Below are 18,741 nucleotides of genomic sequence, written 5' to 3' on the forward strand. Positions count from 1 at the left end.
TGGTGAAACCCCGTCTCTACTAAAAATATAAAAATTAGCTGGGTGTGGTGACGCGCGCCTGTAGTCCCAGCTACTCGGGAGGCTGAGGCAGGAGAATCGCTTGAATTCGGGAGGCGGAGGTTGCAGTGAGCAGAGATCGTGCAATTGCACTCCAGCCTGGGTGACAGGGTGAGACTCCGTCAAAAAAAAAAAAGAACACACATTGGCTTCAGACAAGCCTTGGCTCTGTGAAATCCTCTCTGACTGTGTGACCTTGGGCAAGTTACTTCAGCTTGCTGAGTTTCCACCACTGTAAAATGGAGACAATACCAGAACTCACCCAAGAGGATGGTTTTGAGGATCCAATGACAGGATATATTTGATCACTTAGCTAAGTGCCTGGCACACTATAAATCTTCAACAAAGTGAGGCTACTCTAATAATTATTATATGAGAACACCTAAAAGTTTCTTCCACTCAGGCTATGAAGGCAACTGATAAAAGCAGGACAGAAAATGACATGTTCAGGAATAGCAAAAAATAAAAACAAAAACAAAAAAACTTCTTATAAAGGGCCAAAAGATGTCAGTTAACGAGCCAGGCACTGTGGCTCACACCTGTAAATACCAACATTTTGCGATGCTGAGGTGAGATCACTTGAGCCCAGGAGTTCAAAACCAAACTGGGCAACATAGTGAGACGTCGTCTCTACAAAAATTTAAAAATTAGCTGGATGTAGTGGTGCACCCCTGATCCCAGCTACTCGGAAGGCTGGGGTGGGAGGATTGCTTGGGCCCAGGAGGTCGAGGCTGCAGTGAGCCGTGATCGCCCCACTGCACTCCAGCCTGGGTGACAGAGAAAGACCCGTTCTATTTATATAAAAGAAAAAAAGAAAGGACGTCAACGGATTTCACTATTTAAATAAAGAGGACATTCATTCGACTGAGGAGTGGTTAGGAGCAAGCTTTCTTAGCCTCTCAGATCCTTAGCTTCCTTTTCAATACAAGAGGCTCTAATCCCAACATCACAGGTTGTTGTAAATTAAGTTTGCACCTCGTCATGCTTGTAAAGCACTTAGCATGACACCTGGCACATAGTAAGCGCTCAATAAACAGTAGCTGCTGTTCCCACCGATGTTGCTGCTTTTATTCTTCTTGAGCCAGAGCCTTTGCAGCCCTTAGTGTCCAGTAAAGGCTGCTGTGGTTAAAGCTCCGGGTGCATCATCGAAACCGGTTCTCAGGCTTCTAAATTCTGTGTCAAGTGAACTTCTAGGCCATTTAAAACACAAAGGCAAGGCGAGGGGGCCCCAAAAGTGCCCCAGATTTTCAAAGGGAACGCCGGCGCCTAGAAAGTTGTGATGCCCCGGGCATTCAGGGTAGCGCGGTGGGGAAGCCCGCGCCTCTCGGCTCAGACTCAGGCCGGCCGTCTCGGGGGGCGCGGCCCAGACCACCGACGCGCCTGGCGGGGGCACGAGCCGCTGGGCGTCCACTCTGCCTGGCCCCGGAGGTGTTCCCAGGTACCCGAGCCTCGCGGCGTTTTCAAGTGCTGGCTGCGAAGCTTGAAAAGGACCCGCCGCTGGGCCGGGCGTTTTGTGTTTGCCAAACAAAGCATGAAGGCAGAGTGAGTAAAGGGGGCGGACCCGGCGCGGCACAAAGGCCGGGGGCGGGCCCGGGCTGGGGAAATACAGTTCAGTGGGCCTGAATTGATACGCTCAGCCCCTAAAGCCCCGGGCTGGGCGATCACAGGGCATGAAGGCCCAGCAAAGAGCACTCTGCTGCATTGATCCAATCCCGAGCGAGCAAGCGAGAGGCTTCGAAAGGGGAGGCGGGCAAGGACCGGAGGGGGGCATACAGGGGTCTGTAGGAGCCACTGGCCGCAGTTAGGCACTTTTCTTAGAAATGAAGGAATCTCCTGGACTGGGCGAGGGCCCTCCAGATGGAGCCTGTCCTCGAACCCAAGGGGCCAGGGTAGGAATGTCTCCTCCATTTCTATGGGAAGCAAGCACGCTGCGGGGTCACCCACGACAAAGATGTTCTCTCTTCCTGTTCTGGAAAAAAATGCAGGGCGGGGGGTGGGGGGGGTGGCTGAACGTTCTCTAGGGCCCTCCACCCCACCCCCCGTATTCTGTGAGTCTGGAGATGCACAGATGACTCTGGTCCTGCACCAGGCACACACCCGGCACCTACACAGTGTCTGCCATTGTTTATTATTGGAGGGAGGGACAAATTGGATAGATGGTGGGATGGACACATGCATAGATGTGTGGTTCAACCAGATGGGTTCTGATCCCTTAGTTATTTTCTAATTCACATTTTTGACTGGGTGGTTTTGTCTCATATGAACATGGTTATGGAAGTTTTGTTTTTTCTTTGTACCTTCCTGTGTTTTCCAGATCAATGAACATGTTCACAAATTTTATAATCAGAAAAAAATCGATAAGCATTGTTTAAAATAGAAATAAAACAGACAAAAGGAAGAAGTGTCAGAGATCATGACCATGTAATAATAATGATGATACCGTACACATTACCCGTAACCAACTATTCTTAAATGCTTATATCGCACACATTGCTTTTCGCAATCACCCCATACTTAATACAGGACCCAGCACACGATACTTAATAAATGGCTGGATTTGCTCCTGCGTAGTGGCAGGCTGGTGGAATCCAATGCCTTTGAACAAATGAAGTAGCTGAGGTTCTAAGAAGCTAAGTGTTGCAGCCAGGAATGAATCTGCCAAATGCAAATCCAGGCCTCCTTCCCCAATGCCCCATAGAATCCTGAAGGGCTTCTCCAAATACAGGCTATTTTATTTCACTCTTCTGTGTTCATTTCTGGACTATGAGGCCCCAGATTTCCTTTCTGAAGACAAGGTTTGTTTGTTTTTGTCGTAATGACACACTCGGCATCATTAAGTGTCCGTGAAGAGGAATCTTTTAGTTGCATTAGAAACGTGGTTTGTGACCACTGAGAGCCTTGGGAAACGAAGCTCTCCTAGCAGGAAGAGGCAGGCTGCTAATGAAACGGCTTTCTGGGGGCGGAGTTTCTGCATTCTCTTAGGGCAGACTTGAGCATTATTGCCAAGGAAAAGCTTAGGCCATGTCTGAACTACACACACTGTGATTTGTGAGTATAAACAGTTCGGATCTGAGCAAAGCAGTTCCTACCCAGAAAGACTTTCTCATTCCTAGCTTCTTTCCTTGGTTTGTAAATTGTAACTGATACAAAATACTTTAAACTCGGCCTTGATTTGAAGTTTACTGAGGGAATCAGGCCAACTAATTGAACAAGAATATACTTTTTGAAGTTAAGTCAGCATTGTTTAAGCAGTTTTATTTGAGATCCTTCAAACAGGTTTGCACCATAATTTATTGCAATTCCTTTTTTAAAAATTTATATTGATATCAATTTTCTTGCTTGAAAGTATTATTTTCCTGTATTATATTGTCAGTCAGAACATTCATCATAGAAATAGATATCAATCTACTACTTTATTTTTAAATTTGACTCTTACACGTGGTTTTGTGAAATTCTTAAACCTCACATGAAATATTTGGCTTAAAATTGCATCATGCAGATCCATACTGATTTAGCCCATCTGTTTTGATGAAAAATTTCTTGGCTCTAGTAGGAAAGAGGGCATGGATATTTCCTTGCAATATCTTCCCCTCACTTAAAACCCTACGAATGAAATAAGATCTCAGGATTGCATGAGATAATTTACATACTAATTAGGTTGCATGGTGTAGTTAGAGAGAGAGAGAGAGAGAGAGAGAGGCTCTGGATGCTAACATGGCTTCAAACTAGTGTGATTGTAAGTTGCTTATCCTCCCTATGTCTCAGTTCACTCATCAGTCAATCACTGAGGGCCATTAAGAGGATAAAATGAGATATGATTGAAAAGAGCCTGGCATAGTAAGTGCTCAAGAATTTGTTTTCATGTTTTTCCCTATTCACAACAGCCTTTAACATCCTCCTTTGTAAAAAAGAATTGATTTCCTCACCTGTAAAATTGGGATAGTGACGCAATAAGAGTAACATAGTGCAGGATATTGAGGAAGAGCATAGATTCTGAACTCAGACTGGGTTCACATCTCAGCCACATTACTAGTTCTGTGACTTTGGGCAATTAAATCAATCTTCTTGCTCCTCATTGTCCTCCTGTGTAAAAAGGGAGTGGTCAGGGGCTCGTTGTAGTACCCATGACCCAGGGTAGTTGCCAGTATTCAGTGAATTAATGCACTCAGTATAGATCTACCTAAACTTCTTCTGCATGGCTTACTTTTGCAGCCTGTGAAAACCTGCAGATCCCTTTTCAGAATAATATTTTTAAATACATAAATGCAATACTTTGGATTACAAAGGGAAAACTAGTTATAATGAAATCAAGTTATTGACATATTTTTAAAACAAATTTGTGATATACATGCTTCCTCAGTAGCATATTGAATAAATAACAAGATTTAGCACTCTGTCTAATATCTACCAATATTTCAAAGCAATAAGGAAAGTAAGTGGTATTGTGAGATAACTACAACAACTGTAATGTACTGGAAAAGTAGCTGTGATATTTCTACTGGTAATAAAGTCACAGGTATTGCAAATATGACTTTGGTTTGTTGCCTACATTCATAATGGAAGGAAAGGCTTGCTTTCATTTAGAGGTTAGTGGAAGTTAATTTTCTAATTTTGTTGTAATTTTTCCCATCTAAGTTTATGGACACCAGATTAAGAACAAAACTCTGATTAGTACAATGCATGCTAGCTATTATTACATCAGAGACGTCATGTGGATTGGGTAAAATAATGAATGTGATGGCCATTGCAAACATCAGGCATTTAATACATGGAAGACATTTCAGTTGTTTGCAACTGTTATATTTCATGAAAGCAGTGATAGACAATATATTTTTAAAATAGGCATAGCTGTATTTTAATAAAATTTTATTTACAAAAATAAGCAGCTGGCAGGCTTGTTTGGCCCATGGACCATAGTTTGCTGGACCTTGTATTAAAACATTCTTTCTTTTTTTTTTGTTATACTTTAAGTTCTGGGATACATGTGCAGAACATGCAGGTTTGTTGCATAGGTATATATGTGCTGTGGTGGTTTGCTGCACCTATCAACCCGTCATCTAGGTTTTAAGCCCCACATGCATTAGGTATTTGTCCTAATGCTCTCCCTCCCCTTTCCCCACACCACCACAGGCCCCGGTGTATGATGTTCCCCTCCCTGTGTCCATGTGTTCTCATTGTTCATCTCCCACTTATGAGTGAGAACATGCGGTGTAAAACATTGTTTCTTGAGGAATATTGTATGCAACTTGAAACATTTCAACTTATCATACCTTGTCAAATACTTGACACAGGACTCAACTGGGAAATGCTGTGAACATCCTTTATAAAAACCAGAAAAATTGGTTTTTCTAATGATAAATGATAGGCAAATGATAGCTAATCAAATTGAATTTACTTGGTCTGTTACCTACTATAATGTCTAGAACTGCCTTGTCTATGAAAACACAGAGAAACGTAAAGCCAGTAACAATGATAATATTCTGAGTAATTAGAACCAGCAGCACGTTAATATGTGGGAAAAGTAAATGACATGGAAACCATTCATGACAATATTACCTTGTACCTGGAGCTTTCTCCAAAGGGTTGTAACTACCCTGCAGCTGTTGCTTGCTTGCTACACTGTAGGTTTTCAGTATATACTTGTCAGTTGATTGACTCTCCTGATGAGTCTCCAAGGAAGAAGAGAAGCAGACATGTATTCATTTGGAAATCTTAGTATTTCTACTGTGTAGACAGCGTTCTAGTATTTCTAGGACTGGAGGAAGGAAGGCAAAACAAGGTGAGATAGTTTAGGGTTCAACAGAATGGAAAAGGTAAGGTACTGGGATGGCTGCTGTTCAGATAGAAACATTTCATGGCGGCCGGGGGCGGTGGCTTATGCCTGTAATCCCAGCACTTTGGGAGGCCGAGGGAGGCAGATCACCAGAGGTTGGGAGTTCAAGCCCAGCCTGGCCAACATGGAGAAACCCCGTCTCTGCTAAAAATACAAAATTAGCTAGACATGGTAGTGAATGCCTGTAATCCCAGCTACTCAGGAGGCTGAGGCAGGAGAATCGCTTGAACCCAGGAGGCAGAGGTTGCCGTGAGCCAATATCACACCATTGCACTGCAGCCTGGGCAACAAGAGCAAAACTCCATCTCAAAAAAAAAAAAGAAAAAGAAACATTTCATGGCAACAAACATTATTGAGCAACTACTGAGTGCTGGGTGCTAGGATGAGATCGAAGGGGGAAAAATTACCAGTGGATTTTGCTTCTCCTACAAAAAGTTAAGTCATGTATCTATAACAGAGAAAGTGGCTGTGTTAAGGAAAGTGAGAGAACAGCTCAGGACTAGAGATGTTAAACATTCCAGCCAGCTGTGGAAGTCAAGTATCTGGAACTAATATCTTTCGGTGTCTTTGTTTCTGGCCCCAATGCCATCCATTTCCTTTTTTCCTGTTTTATTTAGCACTTGCCTTCAACTGGCAGAAAAAAAAAAAAAAGCTTCTTGTGCAAAAGTCACTGAGACATTGTAAACGAAAGGGCCCACATCATTTGTGTGCATGGTTGGACCCAAAACTGGCTTAGACACAAACACAGCAGATTATAGGCAGCCCCCACTGTATAACTTTTGGAAGATCCCATTCATGGGGTAAAAAGAACATTCCAAGGCTTCAGTCCAGGTCCCAACACTAGAAGCTGCCTTTAGCCATAGAAGTCATCACCAATGCTTTCTGCTTTCTCTACTTGTTGGGGTGGGAATACTCCTACTGCACCTGCCAGGGTAGCATGGCAGAGCTAAGCTACAACCCTGGAAGAATGTTTTTGTAGGTATCATGTTATCTGGAGTCTTGAGTTTTATAGATGCCAAGTCCTACCTGTTCTATTTTCTTAAGCTGTTGGGCCTGCCCCTATACCACACAGCTGGCACCCCTAAGGAAGTACGTGAGGGAGTTCATCTCAGTCAACCAGGCACCATTCAGATCTTTGGTCCTGAGCCATTTTTTGCTCTGCACTAATTTCCAGTATTTCTGACTTCTACCCTCATTTTTCATTGGCAGTCTCACCTTTATCCTACATTCCTCATGTTCAGTATTGCTTCCCCAGAAAACATCATTGGCTCCCTTTTTTTTACTAGTATCTAAACTCCCTTATCCTGTGGAGATGGGGCTTGATGAGGCTCTCATAGTGCCAAGAGTTGTTTGTGAGAGTATCCTGTGTATAGCTACAAAGGATGCTCAAATTGAGATGGTGTGCAGAGAGGAGAGGCAAGTGGGAACTCAAGGTCAATAAAGCAGAGAAAGGCATGAAAATGTGTCAGGAAGCTGGGTAGGCCATGAGGGGCAGTTATTGAAAGTCAAGCTATGCAGTTAGGGAATAGAGGCACAGTGAAATGAGAGTAAACATTAGCATATTGAAAGGTCAAGCGAGCAAGAGGACAAGTCTAGCTGGATATCTGAAATGAGCATTATGATTATTATTATTATTGAGACAGGGTCTCACTCTGTCACCAAGGCTGGAATACAGTGGTGCCATCACAGCTCACTGCAGCCTCTATTTCCTGGGCTCAAGTGATCCTCCCATCTCAGTCCCTCGAGTAGCTAGGACCACAAGCAGGCACCACCATGCCAGGCTAATTTTTTTATTATTATTATTTTTGTAGTGATGGGGTCTTGCCATGTTGCCCAGGTTAGTCTTGAATTCCTGGGCTCAAGTGACCCTCTTATCTTGGCCTCCCAAAGTGCTGGATTTATAGGTATGAGCACCACACCAAGCCTACCCAGGCATATTATTCATGGCCAATCTAATACCTCCTCCATCTATGGCATGGTACACAGGAGGACCTGATGGATTTAGACTGCCAAATGGCAAACACCACTGTATAAGGTAGGCTAGCCTACATTGTGCTAACTACCCACAATTTTAGTAATACACATTTCTATTTCATTCTTGCTACATGTCTTACATGGGTTGCCATCTAGAAAGAGGTTGCTTACATTAATGGCTTACCAGTCATTAAATGCTCTGGCCTAGGAGTAACTCACATCACTTCTGCTCATGGTCCATTGGCCTGAGCTAATCCTATGGTCCTGCCCATCAATACTCCATGAGCGCTAATTTAGCCACAGGCAGCACTCAGATGATATCCATGGCTACACCAGGGCCTTGACATTGACATAGCCCCTCCATGAATGGCACTTTGTCCAGGTTCACTCCAGCTCCACACTTGGGTCTTGGACAGTAAAATTTCCAATACAACAGCCCATCTGCTGGCCACATATAACATTACTCTATGGGAAAACAAACTCTGGATTTTAACAAGCCATCTCACAAATAGACCTTGAAAGCTTGCCTATTAGTAAGTTGGAAATGGCCTTAGTGATCCTAAGCCTAGGATGATCATGTGGCAAAATTGTGCCACATGCGAGCAATGACAATTTATAATAACCTCTTTCTCCCATGGTCCCTCTCCCAGTGAATGGCACCACCATGTACCCAGTTGTATAAGCCAGAACTCTCTCCTGCCTTCTTTGCCACCAATCTCTCCCTCATCCACTATGCTGCAATCCCAATGGACTTTCTTTTTTTTTTTTTTTTTTTTTTTGAGACAGAGTCTCACTCTGTCACCCAGGCTGGAGTGCAGTGGCGCGATCTCGGCTCACTGCAACCTCTGCCTCCTGGATTTAAGCGATTCTTCAGCCTCAGCCTCCTGAGTAGCTGGAATTACAGCTGCGTGCCACCATGCCCAGTTAATTTTTGTATTTGTTAGTAGAGATGGGGTTTTGCCATGTTGGCCAGGCTGGTCTCGAACTCCTGACCTCAGCCGATCCACCCGCCTTGGCCTCCCAGAGTGCTGGGATTACAGGCGTAAGCCACCGCGCCCAGCCCCAGTGGACTTTCTTCTGTTGCTTATATACTCCAAGCTTGTTCTTGTTTCCAGTCTTTGTATTTGCTGTTCTTTCTGCCTGGCATACATTTCCAAACTGCCTTTAATATTAATTTAGCTATCCCTTACCTTTAGGAATGTAGATGAACTCACCATCATTGGTTAGTGACTCAGGGCCAATCACTAGAATGGAAGCTCTCTGAAAGCAGGGACTACTGTGTACCCTTTGGAATTTAGTAAGGGCTCAATAAATGCATGCTGACTGGATGAATGCCATAGTGAGTCACCAGTGAAGGCAGTACGGAGTGCCTCTTTTCACTCTCATACTCTTGGGTGTCATGTATGACCTGTTTCACTTTACTGCCAGTTGGGGCAGTGCAAGGGTACAAGTGACTTCACAGAGTTTCCTTCCATGCTTCTGCCCCACTCCTTTGGGTGGAGATTTCAGACTCAGGAGCAGCTTCAGTGTTTTGTTTGTTTGTTTTGATTTGTTGTTGTTGTTGTTGTTTGTTTGTTTTTTTGGTGTGTTTTTGTTTTGCTTCGTTTTGTTTGTTTGTTTGTTTGTTTGTTTGTTTGTTTTGCCTATGTCTGGTTGGCTAGTAAGGTACCAGTGCTCTGGAAATGACAGACTGAAAACCTGTTCTATTATTTCTTCTGTGAAATTTTCTTTTGATATAATCATTTTGGGATCATGCATATTGTTTCAAGTACACATCTTCTAGTAGGTTGAGTTCAATGTCTGTCTCTTCCCCTTCCCTCATCCCCCACCTCACACCCACCAGACTGTAAACTACATAAAGGCAGGAATTGTGTCTATTTTTGTTTATCACTCTATTCCCAGCATCCAAAAGTAAGGCTGGCACAGAACTATTAAGCATTCAACCAATATTTGTTGAATTGATTAATGAGTCCAGAGGTGGGTTACCCCTCACTCCTAGTTTATAAACCATGTTATACACAGAAGAGAAATCCTCTTTATTTGAGCTATGATCACTGGACACCAGACTTATTTAGTTAAGGTTGATCAAGCTGTACTGAAAGGACTTCACCTGGCAAGACAGGCTGAGCTCACTTTGGTTATCCCATATGGGCCACTGGGAAGTGTCACTGGGATCTTAGAGAACAAGAATCCCAAATAACTTTCAACACATTAAGATTTATATATGGCCGAGGTGGTGGCTCATGTCTGTAATCCCAGCACTTTGGGAGGCCAAGGTGAGCAGATTGCCTGAGCTCAGGAGTTCGAGACCAGCCCGGGCAACATGGTGAAACCCTGTATTTACTAAAAATACAAAAAATTAGGTAGGTGTGGTAGTGCAGGCCTATAGACCCAGCTACTCAGGAACCTAAGAGGCTGAGGTGGGAGGATTGCTTGAGCCTGTGAGGCAGAGGTTGCAGTGAGCCAAGATTTTGCCACTGCACTCCAACAGGAGTGAGACCCTGTCTCAAAAAAAAAAAAAAAAAAAAAGTTAGATACCTCCTCCTATGATAATGATAGTGATTGCAAAAGTAATAATAACAATAACATTAAGTATCATTTATTGAGTGCTTATCATTTAAGGTGCCAAACTCCTTGCTAAGAGCTTTGCATGCATTGCCTCATTTAATCTTAACAACAGTATGAGTTCCTTCCTCTCCATGGCCTCAGTTTCTCCTGCAAGTAAGCAAGACACAACCCAATGGCAGAGAGCAGAGAGCTGAGAAGGCAATAGCCAAGAGCTGCAGCAGAAAGATTCTCTGCTCCCCAGGAGCTGGTGACCGATTCCTTTGTCTGGCTTTGTTAATGAATTCCTTAATGCTGAAAGTATTAAAAATACATTGTCAATCTATTCAGTGCTGCCAAAAGGAAATACGTCCATTTCCCACTTACCATATTGGAGTTACTTCAAACATAATTCCTATATATTCCACTGGGAAACTATTTATTGAATAAATTCAGAAATTAACAGTTGGGCTATTTATGCCTCCCTGGCAGGAGATAATTGTACATTGACAGGTAGATGATTTCTAGAGGCCTATGGACCTAGTGGGCAGATTTTAAGTAAATGGCCAACCTTCCCTTCCCTCCCCCCTCAGGCTCTTTCTGGAGAGAAAGGTGTGCTAGATGTGTCATGGAAACTTCCCGCTTGAACCTGCCTGTGTTTGCCCACCTGAGCCTCAGAGGTGTTTACCATATTGTGAGAGCTGTTATTGTGCTGTACACAAATGGAGCCCTCTTGTCTTCCACTTTCAGCATTTGATGAATTTGTTTTTGAGGCACCATCCTTCAGTACATTTCATTTGATTACTTTTCCCTTTGACTTACCTTTTTTCCAAAGCTTTCTCATTAGTCCTCATAGGAACCAAGACAAGGTGTACAATTTGGCAGCGAGGAAATTGGGATTTAATAAGTCCCCTGCACAATCCAGCATGTCTACAAATAATTTGTAGGATTAGGCTCCCCAGCCTCATTTGGAACTGGATGCAGCTGACCTGAATAATGAAAGTTATGAATCCCCTCCCAGCATTGCTTCATTAGAATCCCCTTACAAAATAAGAAATAAGACTCATCTCATCAGCTCGATTTTATGGCATCTGATTAGACCACTATTTTCTCAGCAGGTCCCTTTTCTTTAAACTGTTGACTATGGATGGCCTGCTGAATAGAATGAACTTTGGACCACTAAATTGCAGCATTATGGTTATTTTGTGTAATTTATGAAAAGCGGGAGAAGCCATGATCACTTACTTCTTGTTGCTAATGATATCACCATTTATCTGAACAGGTGTGGGTTTGGAATATTCCTCCCACTCCCGATACTCAACCTGGAACACTGCCCAAGTAGAGACCCCAAAAATGATATTTGGAGGTACTGACTCTACAGATGGCAAATTAAAAATTAATGGCACCTGCACAAGTCTTCATGAATGTCTACTATCAGCAGCCTTTCAGGAAGCTATGCATTTTAACTGTGTTTACCTAATAAGTCCCTCTATTTGTTGTTTGACTTACAATTCAACAAATTTGGTGAAAGCCTAAGTGGGCTGTCAGTGTAACAACCTCTGTTAGTACATCATCATCTCCCTATTTTGAGATATAAGGCAAGGTGTTGAAATTATGTAGTAATTATTTCAAGCATTATGATTAAAGTGGTACAACATGCCAATCTTTTCTGGTTAGTGGGAAATCCACAGTCACAACCACATTGCAAATGTAAAAGCTATCCTAAAACAAAGGCTACCTGAATCAGTGATCTTCCAAAATAGTGACTTATAAAGGCTGCAGATTATCTCTAGATGATGGCTAGATGTGGTTTTCTCAAGCATCCAGGAGCCAAGAGACCAGTGCAGTGAAGTGGTGAGCAAAGACATGCACTTCAGAGTAAGCCAGAGCTGGCATTGCATACTAGTTCTATCAGTTGATGGCTTTGCAACCTTGGGTAAGTTTTTACTCTTCTTGAGTCTTGGTCACCAATTTGGAAAAGAGGGATGCAAATGCCTCCCTCATTGGGCCATTTTAAGGGTTAAAGAAGAGAGCACATGTGAAGTGCCCTAGCACAGTGCCTGATTCACAGTAGACACTCAACAAATGTTAATGAATGTTTCCTCTAGGGGAGCAAAGCCAAGCTTTAGGGGTCAAACTTACCTGACAGACTTTCTGGTCATCACAGGACATCTCAGGACATTTCCCAAACAAAAATAGTTTTATTCAATCCTCATTTTAGAAATTAGTATTAGAATGCCTAGGGAATGGATGATAGGGCAGGTGCATGACAAACTCAGCCTGAAGTCCAAACTACAAAGGGGTTTCTTTTCTGGATGAGGCTAGGCTCAAAGCTTTTTTTGTTTATGATCTACACTGAGACATTGGACCAGCACCTTTTGTTCAAGGTGACAGTAACATAAGCCTGCTCAAATAAGTAACATTTCCCTTTGCCACTGGCTCATTTGAGTGGAATGACAAAGTTTGCTTGCGTTTGTGTGGACAGACCCACACAACCCTGGCACTGATAAATATTCAGTATGTCTTTATGTTTTCACACTAAGCAGCACTGAAAAGTGGTCAACTTTTTGTTTGTTTTTTGTTTTAGAGAGACATCTGTAATCCTGCTGATGCTCATGTGCTGAAAACTATGACCGTACTCAATAAAGAAGGAGACACAGTGTTACAGCTCTTTTGGAATTAGTCTAGCAGATTTCTCAGTTTTCACTGGAAACCCTTAAAAAGGTAGAGGAGAGAGAGGTGCGTGGAAGAGTGAGCACAAGAAAGGAGGCATCTTACAGTTTATAAACATCTGAACACTGGAGCTCTATCAAGATTCTGTTTCAATCTCTATTTGACCACATACGTGCTCTTTCAAAGTTCTGTGTTTGAAGTTATGTTAGTAACAACTGATGCCCATCCTGCAATGACAAATCCAATTCTCAGTGCAGCTCTCTGAAATAGTTTTGCTTTCTCTCTCTAGGTCTGTTCTATACTCCTAACTCTCCAGGAGTTTACAAGGAATAAAATCTCTTCCAAAAGCTTTCTGTTGCAACAACTGGACCATACTGAAAGCTGAGGCCCACAATTGCAATCTAGGTTAGCAGGTAATCATTGTTGGTGAGGTCCTCCCTTTCCCCAGGCTCGTGTTTGTATTGGGGAGCAGGAAATTTTTGCTAGAGCAGCACTGCCATCTCTCTACACTCCACCTGATTGGTGGGATGGACCAGAGAAATGGACATTCCCAACACAGTCCCTCCTTTCACATCTGCTCACCTGCCCACAGGATACTTTCCACCATGCATACTGGGCTCTGCACCAACGATTCAGCAGTGATGAAGAGGAAACTTGAACCCTTCTCTCCAGGAGCTGACACCATTTAGTGAGGAGCCAGACAAATAAATAAAGAAGGAAATGCCATTAAACGTACAGGATGACTATCACAGTGGTAAGAGGAATGAGGGAACACTCTGGGAGCATAAAGGAGGTGCATCTAACCAATTATCAACTGCATCATCAAGTATCAAGTCAGAAAGATTAGATTTCATAAACCTTGCCTCTAAGCACCAACCTGATGGTCACTCTGACAACACATATATTGAGCATCCTCTCTAGGTCAGACCTGGGCTAGGAGCTGGGGGGATATAAGGAAGACTAAGACATAGCCCATGCTCTTAAGGAGCTCACAGTCTAATGGAGAAAACCTCCAAATAAACTAACACTTTCAGCGTAGTGCAGAGATGGGGTCATGCAAAAAGAACTATAGAAAAACAGAGGTGGGGCCCCTAACACAGTGTGCAGGTCAGAGAAGGCTACTCCGAGGAGATTAGTCCTGAGCTGGTTCTGAAGGGATGAATAGAGCTTAGCTGCTTGAAAAATATGGACAAGGTCAGTCCAGACAGAGGGAACTTCATGGTCAAGAGTATGGAGATGAGCCTGAGCATGGAGGTTGGGGAATGAGGCTTGAGCAATAAGCAGGGGTCAGAGAATGAAGGACCTTATATGCCATTCTGGGTATAACTGGAAAACTTGGACTTGATCCTGTGTAAAATCAAATCAGATGTTGTGAGCCAGTGGGGGGCAATTCCAAAGACAGAGGTATAAGCCAGAGGGTGCCGGGCTATTACAGTCTAAGGGAGAAATGATGATGGCCTGAGCTAGGCCAGTAAGAGCAGCGAAAGAGAGCAGAGAGACACAGAGCTGTTTGGGAGGTAGATGGATGAGTGATTGATCGGCTGTGTGGCTAAGGCAGAGGAAGGAGTTTATGATGACTTCCAGTTTTCCAGTTTGTGTCCTGCCAGAATTGGAGATACAGAAGGAGCAGGGGTAGCAGAGGCAGGAAGGGAAGAATGAGCTCGATTTTGGACATGTCAAATTTGGGGTCCTTCTGGGTCATCCTGGTATGAGTGGCTCCCAAAGAAAGTGATTTTGCAGAAGAAGTGATGCTTGCTACTTGCTCTCCTTTACTGATATAAATTTGAAGAGGGGACATATAATCTGGCAATTTCAAATAGACATAGAAAAGACATCAAAGCAGCCAGGAACCAAGCATTAAGAACTCTCTCATATAGAGAGTGAGCAAATAAACCTCATCAGACCAGCAGACTCTGCCAACATACCCTGCATTTCCCTGTTTGATGTTCCTGCTATTCCAGTGCTGATGTCTAAGTAACTGTACCACAAAGTACACTGGGAAGGAGAACAAATGGCCAAAATTGTCTCAAGATCCCCTTTTCTTTTGACATGCACTATGACTTGTGGCAAATGGAAAATAAATAAACCCAAACATAAAAAAAGAATTGCAGGCCCATGTTCTTCTCAAGTGACTTTTAAGGGGAAACAAATGGAAATGTTCACTTTGCTCTTATTTGTATCACTTTTTAAAATAACTTTATTGATGTAGAATTCACATACTATACAATAAAATCCTCTGATGTCACTCCTAAGATGGTATGGCTGTGAGCATGAGCACAGTCACCCTGAGATGATAGTGGTTTCAGCATGGCTCTGTTTGTCTTTTTCCTTGATACCTCTGTTAAGTTGTCTGCCTCCTTCTATTAAACTACACGAATTTCTGGCCGATTGCTCAATAATTTTTCAATAATTTTGGGGGTATACATTGCTTCACAGTTTGATCCAATTACATTTAAGCAGGGGTAGCTTTATGTCGTGATTCTTTGAGGTTTGCTCTAACCCCAAGAAAACTCCTCTTAGCTGGGCCTTTCCCTGGTTCTCTCTGATAAACAAGATTGTCTGTGGTTAGGCTTTTTGCTCTGATAGATCTATCAGCCTCCCTTAATTGCTCACCATTAAAGTCTCCATCATTTTCTAGAGTATCCTTAGGCTTGAACTGCCACATACTCCTTCAAAGTCAGTTCCTTTGAGGAGAACTTCAGCTACATCTGTTCTTATGGACTGACTCTCCCCCTGGGCAAAATCTCTGAGCCACTGCTTTGAGCATTGGGAATCTCTTGCCTTGCTGGGTTGCTTCTCCCAGTATGAAACCTCTGCTCTGCAAACTAGCTGGAGTGAGAGTCATCAAGGCCCTAGTATTCTTGGCCTGTTGCACCTGGCCTATAGAGACAAGCCTAGTATATACACAAGGTCTGGGTGGAGGTAGGGAACACCCTACCTCTCAGCTGCACTCATCAGGAATTCAGCCTCTATCATTTGGAGTTGGAGAGAATGAGAAATGCTGGCAGCCAGATCCTCCTCCTGGGATGCCATATTTCTTGACTGGGATATGAGGGGAGAAAAAGCCCCATCTTCTTGACCACACCCACCCAGAGTGGAACTTCCACTAAGTTGAGCTTAGTGAGGGGCAGGTAAAAGGGAGCCACTCATGACTGAAATACCACAGACTCTTGCTGCTCTTGCTGAGATTTAGTAGATTTTCTTGAATAAATGTTTTACTTAATGGATGTCCCTAAGGTAATTTTTAGAGACTTTGAATGACTGATTTTTTAAGAACAATTTTCACCAATTATGATGGTTTCATTGAGAAGTATGTCCACAGTGCTATTCACACTGCCATTCTAGAAGTGAAACTCTTTATTACTTTTTAATCCATTATTTGTTTGTGTTTATGTAAACAAACTATTGACTTCTGAAATATATATGGAGTATGGTTTGGGAAATAAGACCAAAAGGATATCTTGCTCTTCAGCTGGAAAAGTTCAAAAAAAGTGATGAAGAAAATAATGGAGAAAGCACACGAGCTACATGGCTTTTTCATGGTAAATGGAAAATACAAAGTGTGATCTCATAGATGACCGGGTTCCAAGCTGCATAATCCCCTTTATGCACAGAAGCATAAGGAATAAATGGATTCTAAAGTAATTTGGAATAATTTTGCACATTTAAAACTATAACCTTACCTAATGCTAGATGACGAGTTAGTGGGTGCAGCGCACCAGCATGGCACATGTATACATATGTAACTAACCTGCACATTGTGCACATGTACCCTAAAACTTAAAGTATAATAATAATAAAAAAAAGAACAATGACAACAACAATAAAAAAAAAACTATAACCTTGCCAGAGATACTAGCGATGTAATTTTCACAAATGTAGTAAAAATCAATCAAGTCCAATCACTTGAACAGGATACTTGTAGTCCATTCTAACTCAACTTGTGCCCAAAGAGGAAAACAAGTAGAAGGAAAAGTATGGCCTTGTTACTTATTGATTTATGATTATTGTCAAATTATTCAATTACTTTGTACCTCAGTTACCTCATTTATTTGTTGTCTGCATCAATTGAGAGAAATTACATGAAAATGCTGAGGAGTATTATATGAGAAATAAGGCCTTTAAAGCTAGGACAAGTTTCACATATCTTGAAATGACCTTATTTTATGAAGATGGAATACTTCTTCCTAAGAGGGGAAAATAAAGGAAAGCTGCTTTTTGCCTGTGAACTGAGTTTAACTCTATGAAAAAACTTCAAGAAATAACAAGGAGTGTAATAATAGTACTTTCAATCGAAGCTTGGTTAATGTCAAAACTAAGATGTATTTCTTCTAAAACTCAACCAAAAGTCAATGCTGCATGGTTTAGCAATGAAGTACATGGGCTTGAGCCTGACTGCTTGGGCTTGGCTACTGGTTCAGCCACTTTCTAGCCAAGAGACCTTGGGCAAATTACATAACCTCTACACACCCCAGTACAATGAGTTTAATACCTTATGGGTTGTTGTGAGGCTTTAATGAATTAAAAGATGTAAAGATGCATGAGCAATGCCTGGCACAGAGTAAGGAAGTGTGAGTGATGATGATGACGGTAGTTGGGAGATTTGTCCTTGTTGAAAGCTGTTATCCTGCCCCAAATGAATCCTGTCAGATTTCCTAAAAATCTGCTGTCTTTCCTCCGAGAAGCATTATAGAAAGACAGTGGAGGAGGTGTCTCCAATGCAAAGTCATGGATCATCAAGATGGCCAATGTGAGAAAAGTCAAATCCGTTGTTCTGGGCATCAAGTTCCTAGAAATGTTGGAACTGACAGCATGTCTGATTCAGTGATGCCATTCAAGACATTTAGCCAAGGGTGATGCTCTAGGATGAAATTAAGAGGAAAATGACAAATAAACTATGGCAACTAATCAATACATAGCCCAGTATGAAGCTAATGGTCCATTTCAAGAGCAGGAGCTGGCCTTTGCAGAGCCCGCCTTTTTTTGTGGTCAGAATTGAGTCTTGTTATAATCATGTTGAGAATTGCAGAGATTAGTACCCTGAAATCATTGACATTGCACTGTGAATATTTCTTTTCCCTTGTGTCCCTTAATAGTTAGAAAATCATATATATATAACTGTATACAGTTATTGCAGTGATACTATTTTAATAATGTAGTATAATGAGATTCATTTGAAATTATACTGAAACTTTAAAATTGGGGAAGAGAGATAGACGACATTATCAGAGCTATATATGGATTCCAGATTAAATAAAAGCAGAAATATATATCTTTTATCTTCAGATTCATCTGTCTTATAATAATTGTTACTTTAGTTCCAATGTGCTTGTTAAGTCCAGCACCTCAGCCTAGTCTCCTTTTACAACCATTAACATCCTCTTGGCATGAAGTCCTGACATTTCCATCTTTTACTTTAAAACTGATTTAGTGCTGTCAGTAATCTCCCGAAAGGATTGAGATCTGTGAGCTACCCAGAATGAGTGACTGTAGGTCAGGCCACTGATCCCATCAAGAGGCATCTGTGAGCTAAACATTAGGGGGTTTTGAGCACAGAACTAGGGGATCGAGGCGGTAGTTCAGGGTCTGCCAAACCACGGGCCAAATCTAGGCCATTGCCTGGTTTTATAAATAAAGTTTTATTGAAACACAGCTATGCC

General features: G+C 42.3%; 1 non-coding gene across 1 annotated transcript; it reads left to right on the plus strand.

Moving 5' to 3' along the window:
• On the plus strand, positions 13,066-13,126 carry LOC124905265 (U7 small nuclear RNA). Its single transcript, XR_007068420.1, has one exon. It is a non-coding gene; the product is annotated as a U7 small nuclear RNA (small nuclear RNA).
• Positions 13,127-18,741: the final 5,615 nt, after the last annotated feature.

The sequence above is a fragment of the Homo sapiens genome, chromosome X (genome assembly GCF_000001405.40).
Source record: "Homo sapiens chromosome X, GRCh38.p14 Primary Assembly".
Taxonomy (NCBI): domain Eukaryota; kingdom Metazoa; phylum Chordata; class Mammalia; order Primates; family Hominidae; genus Homo; species Homo sapiens.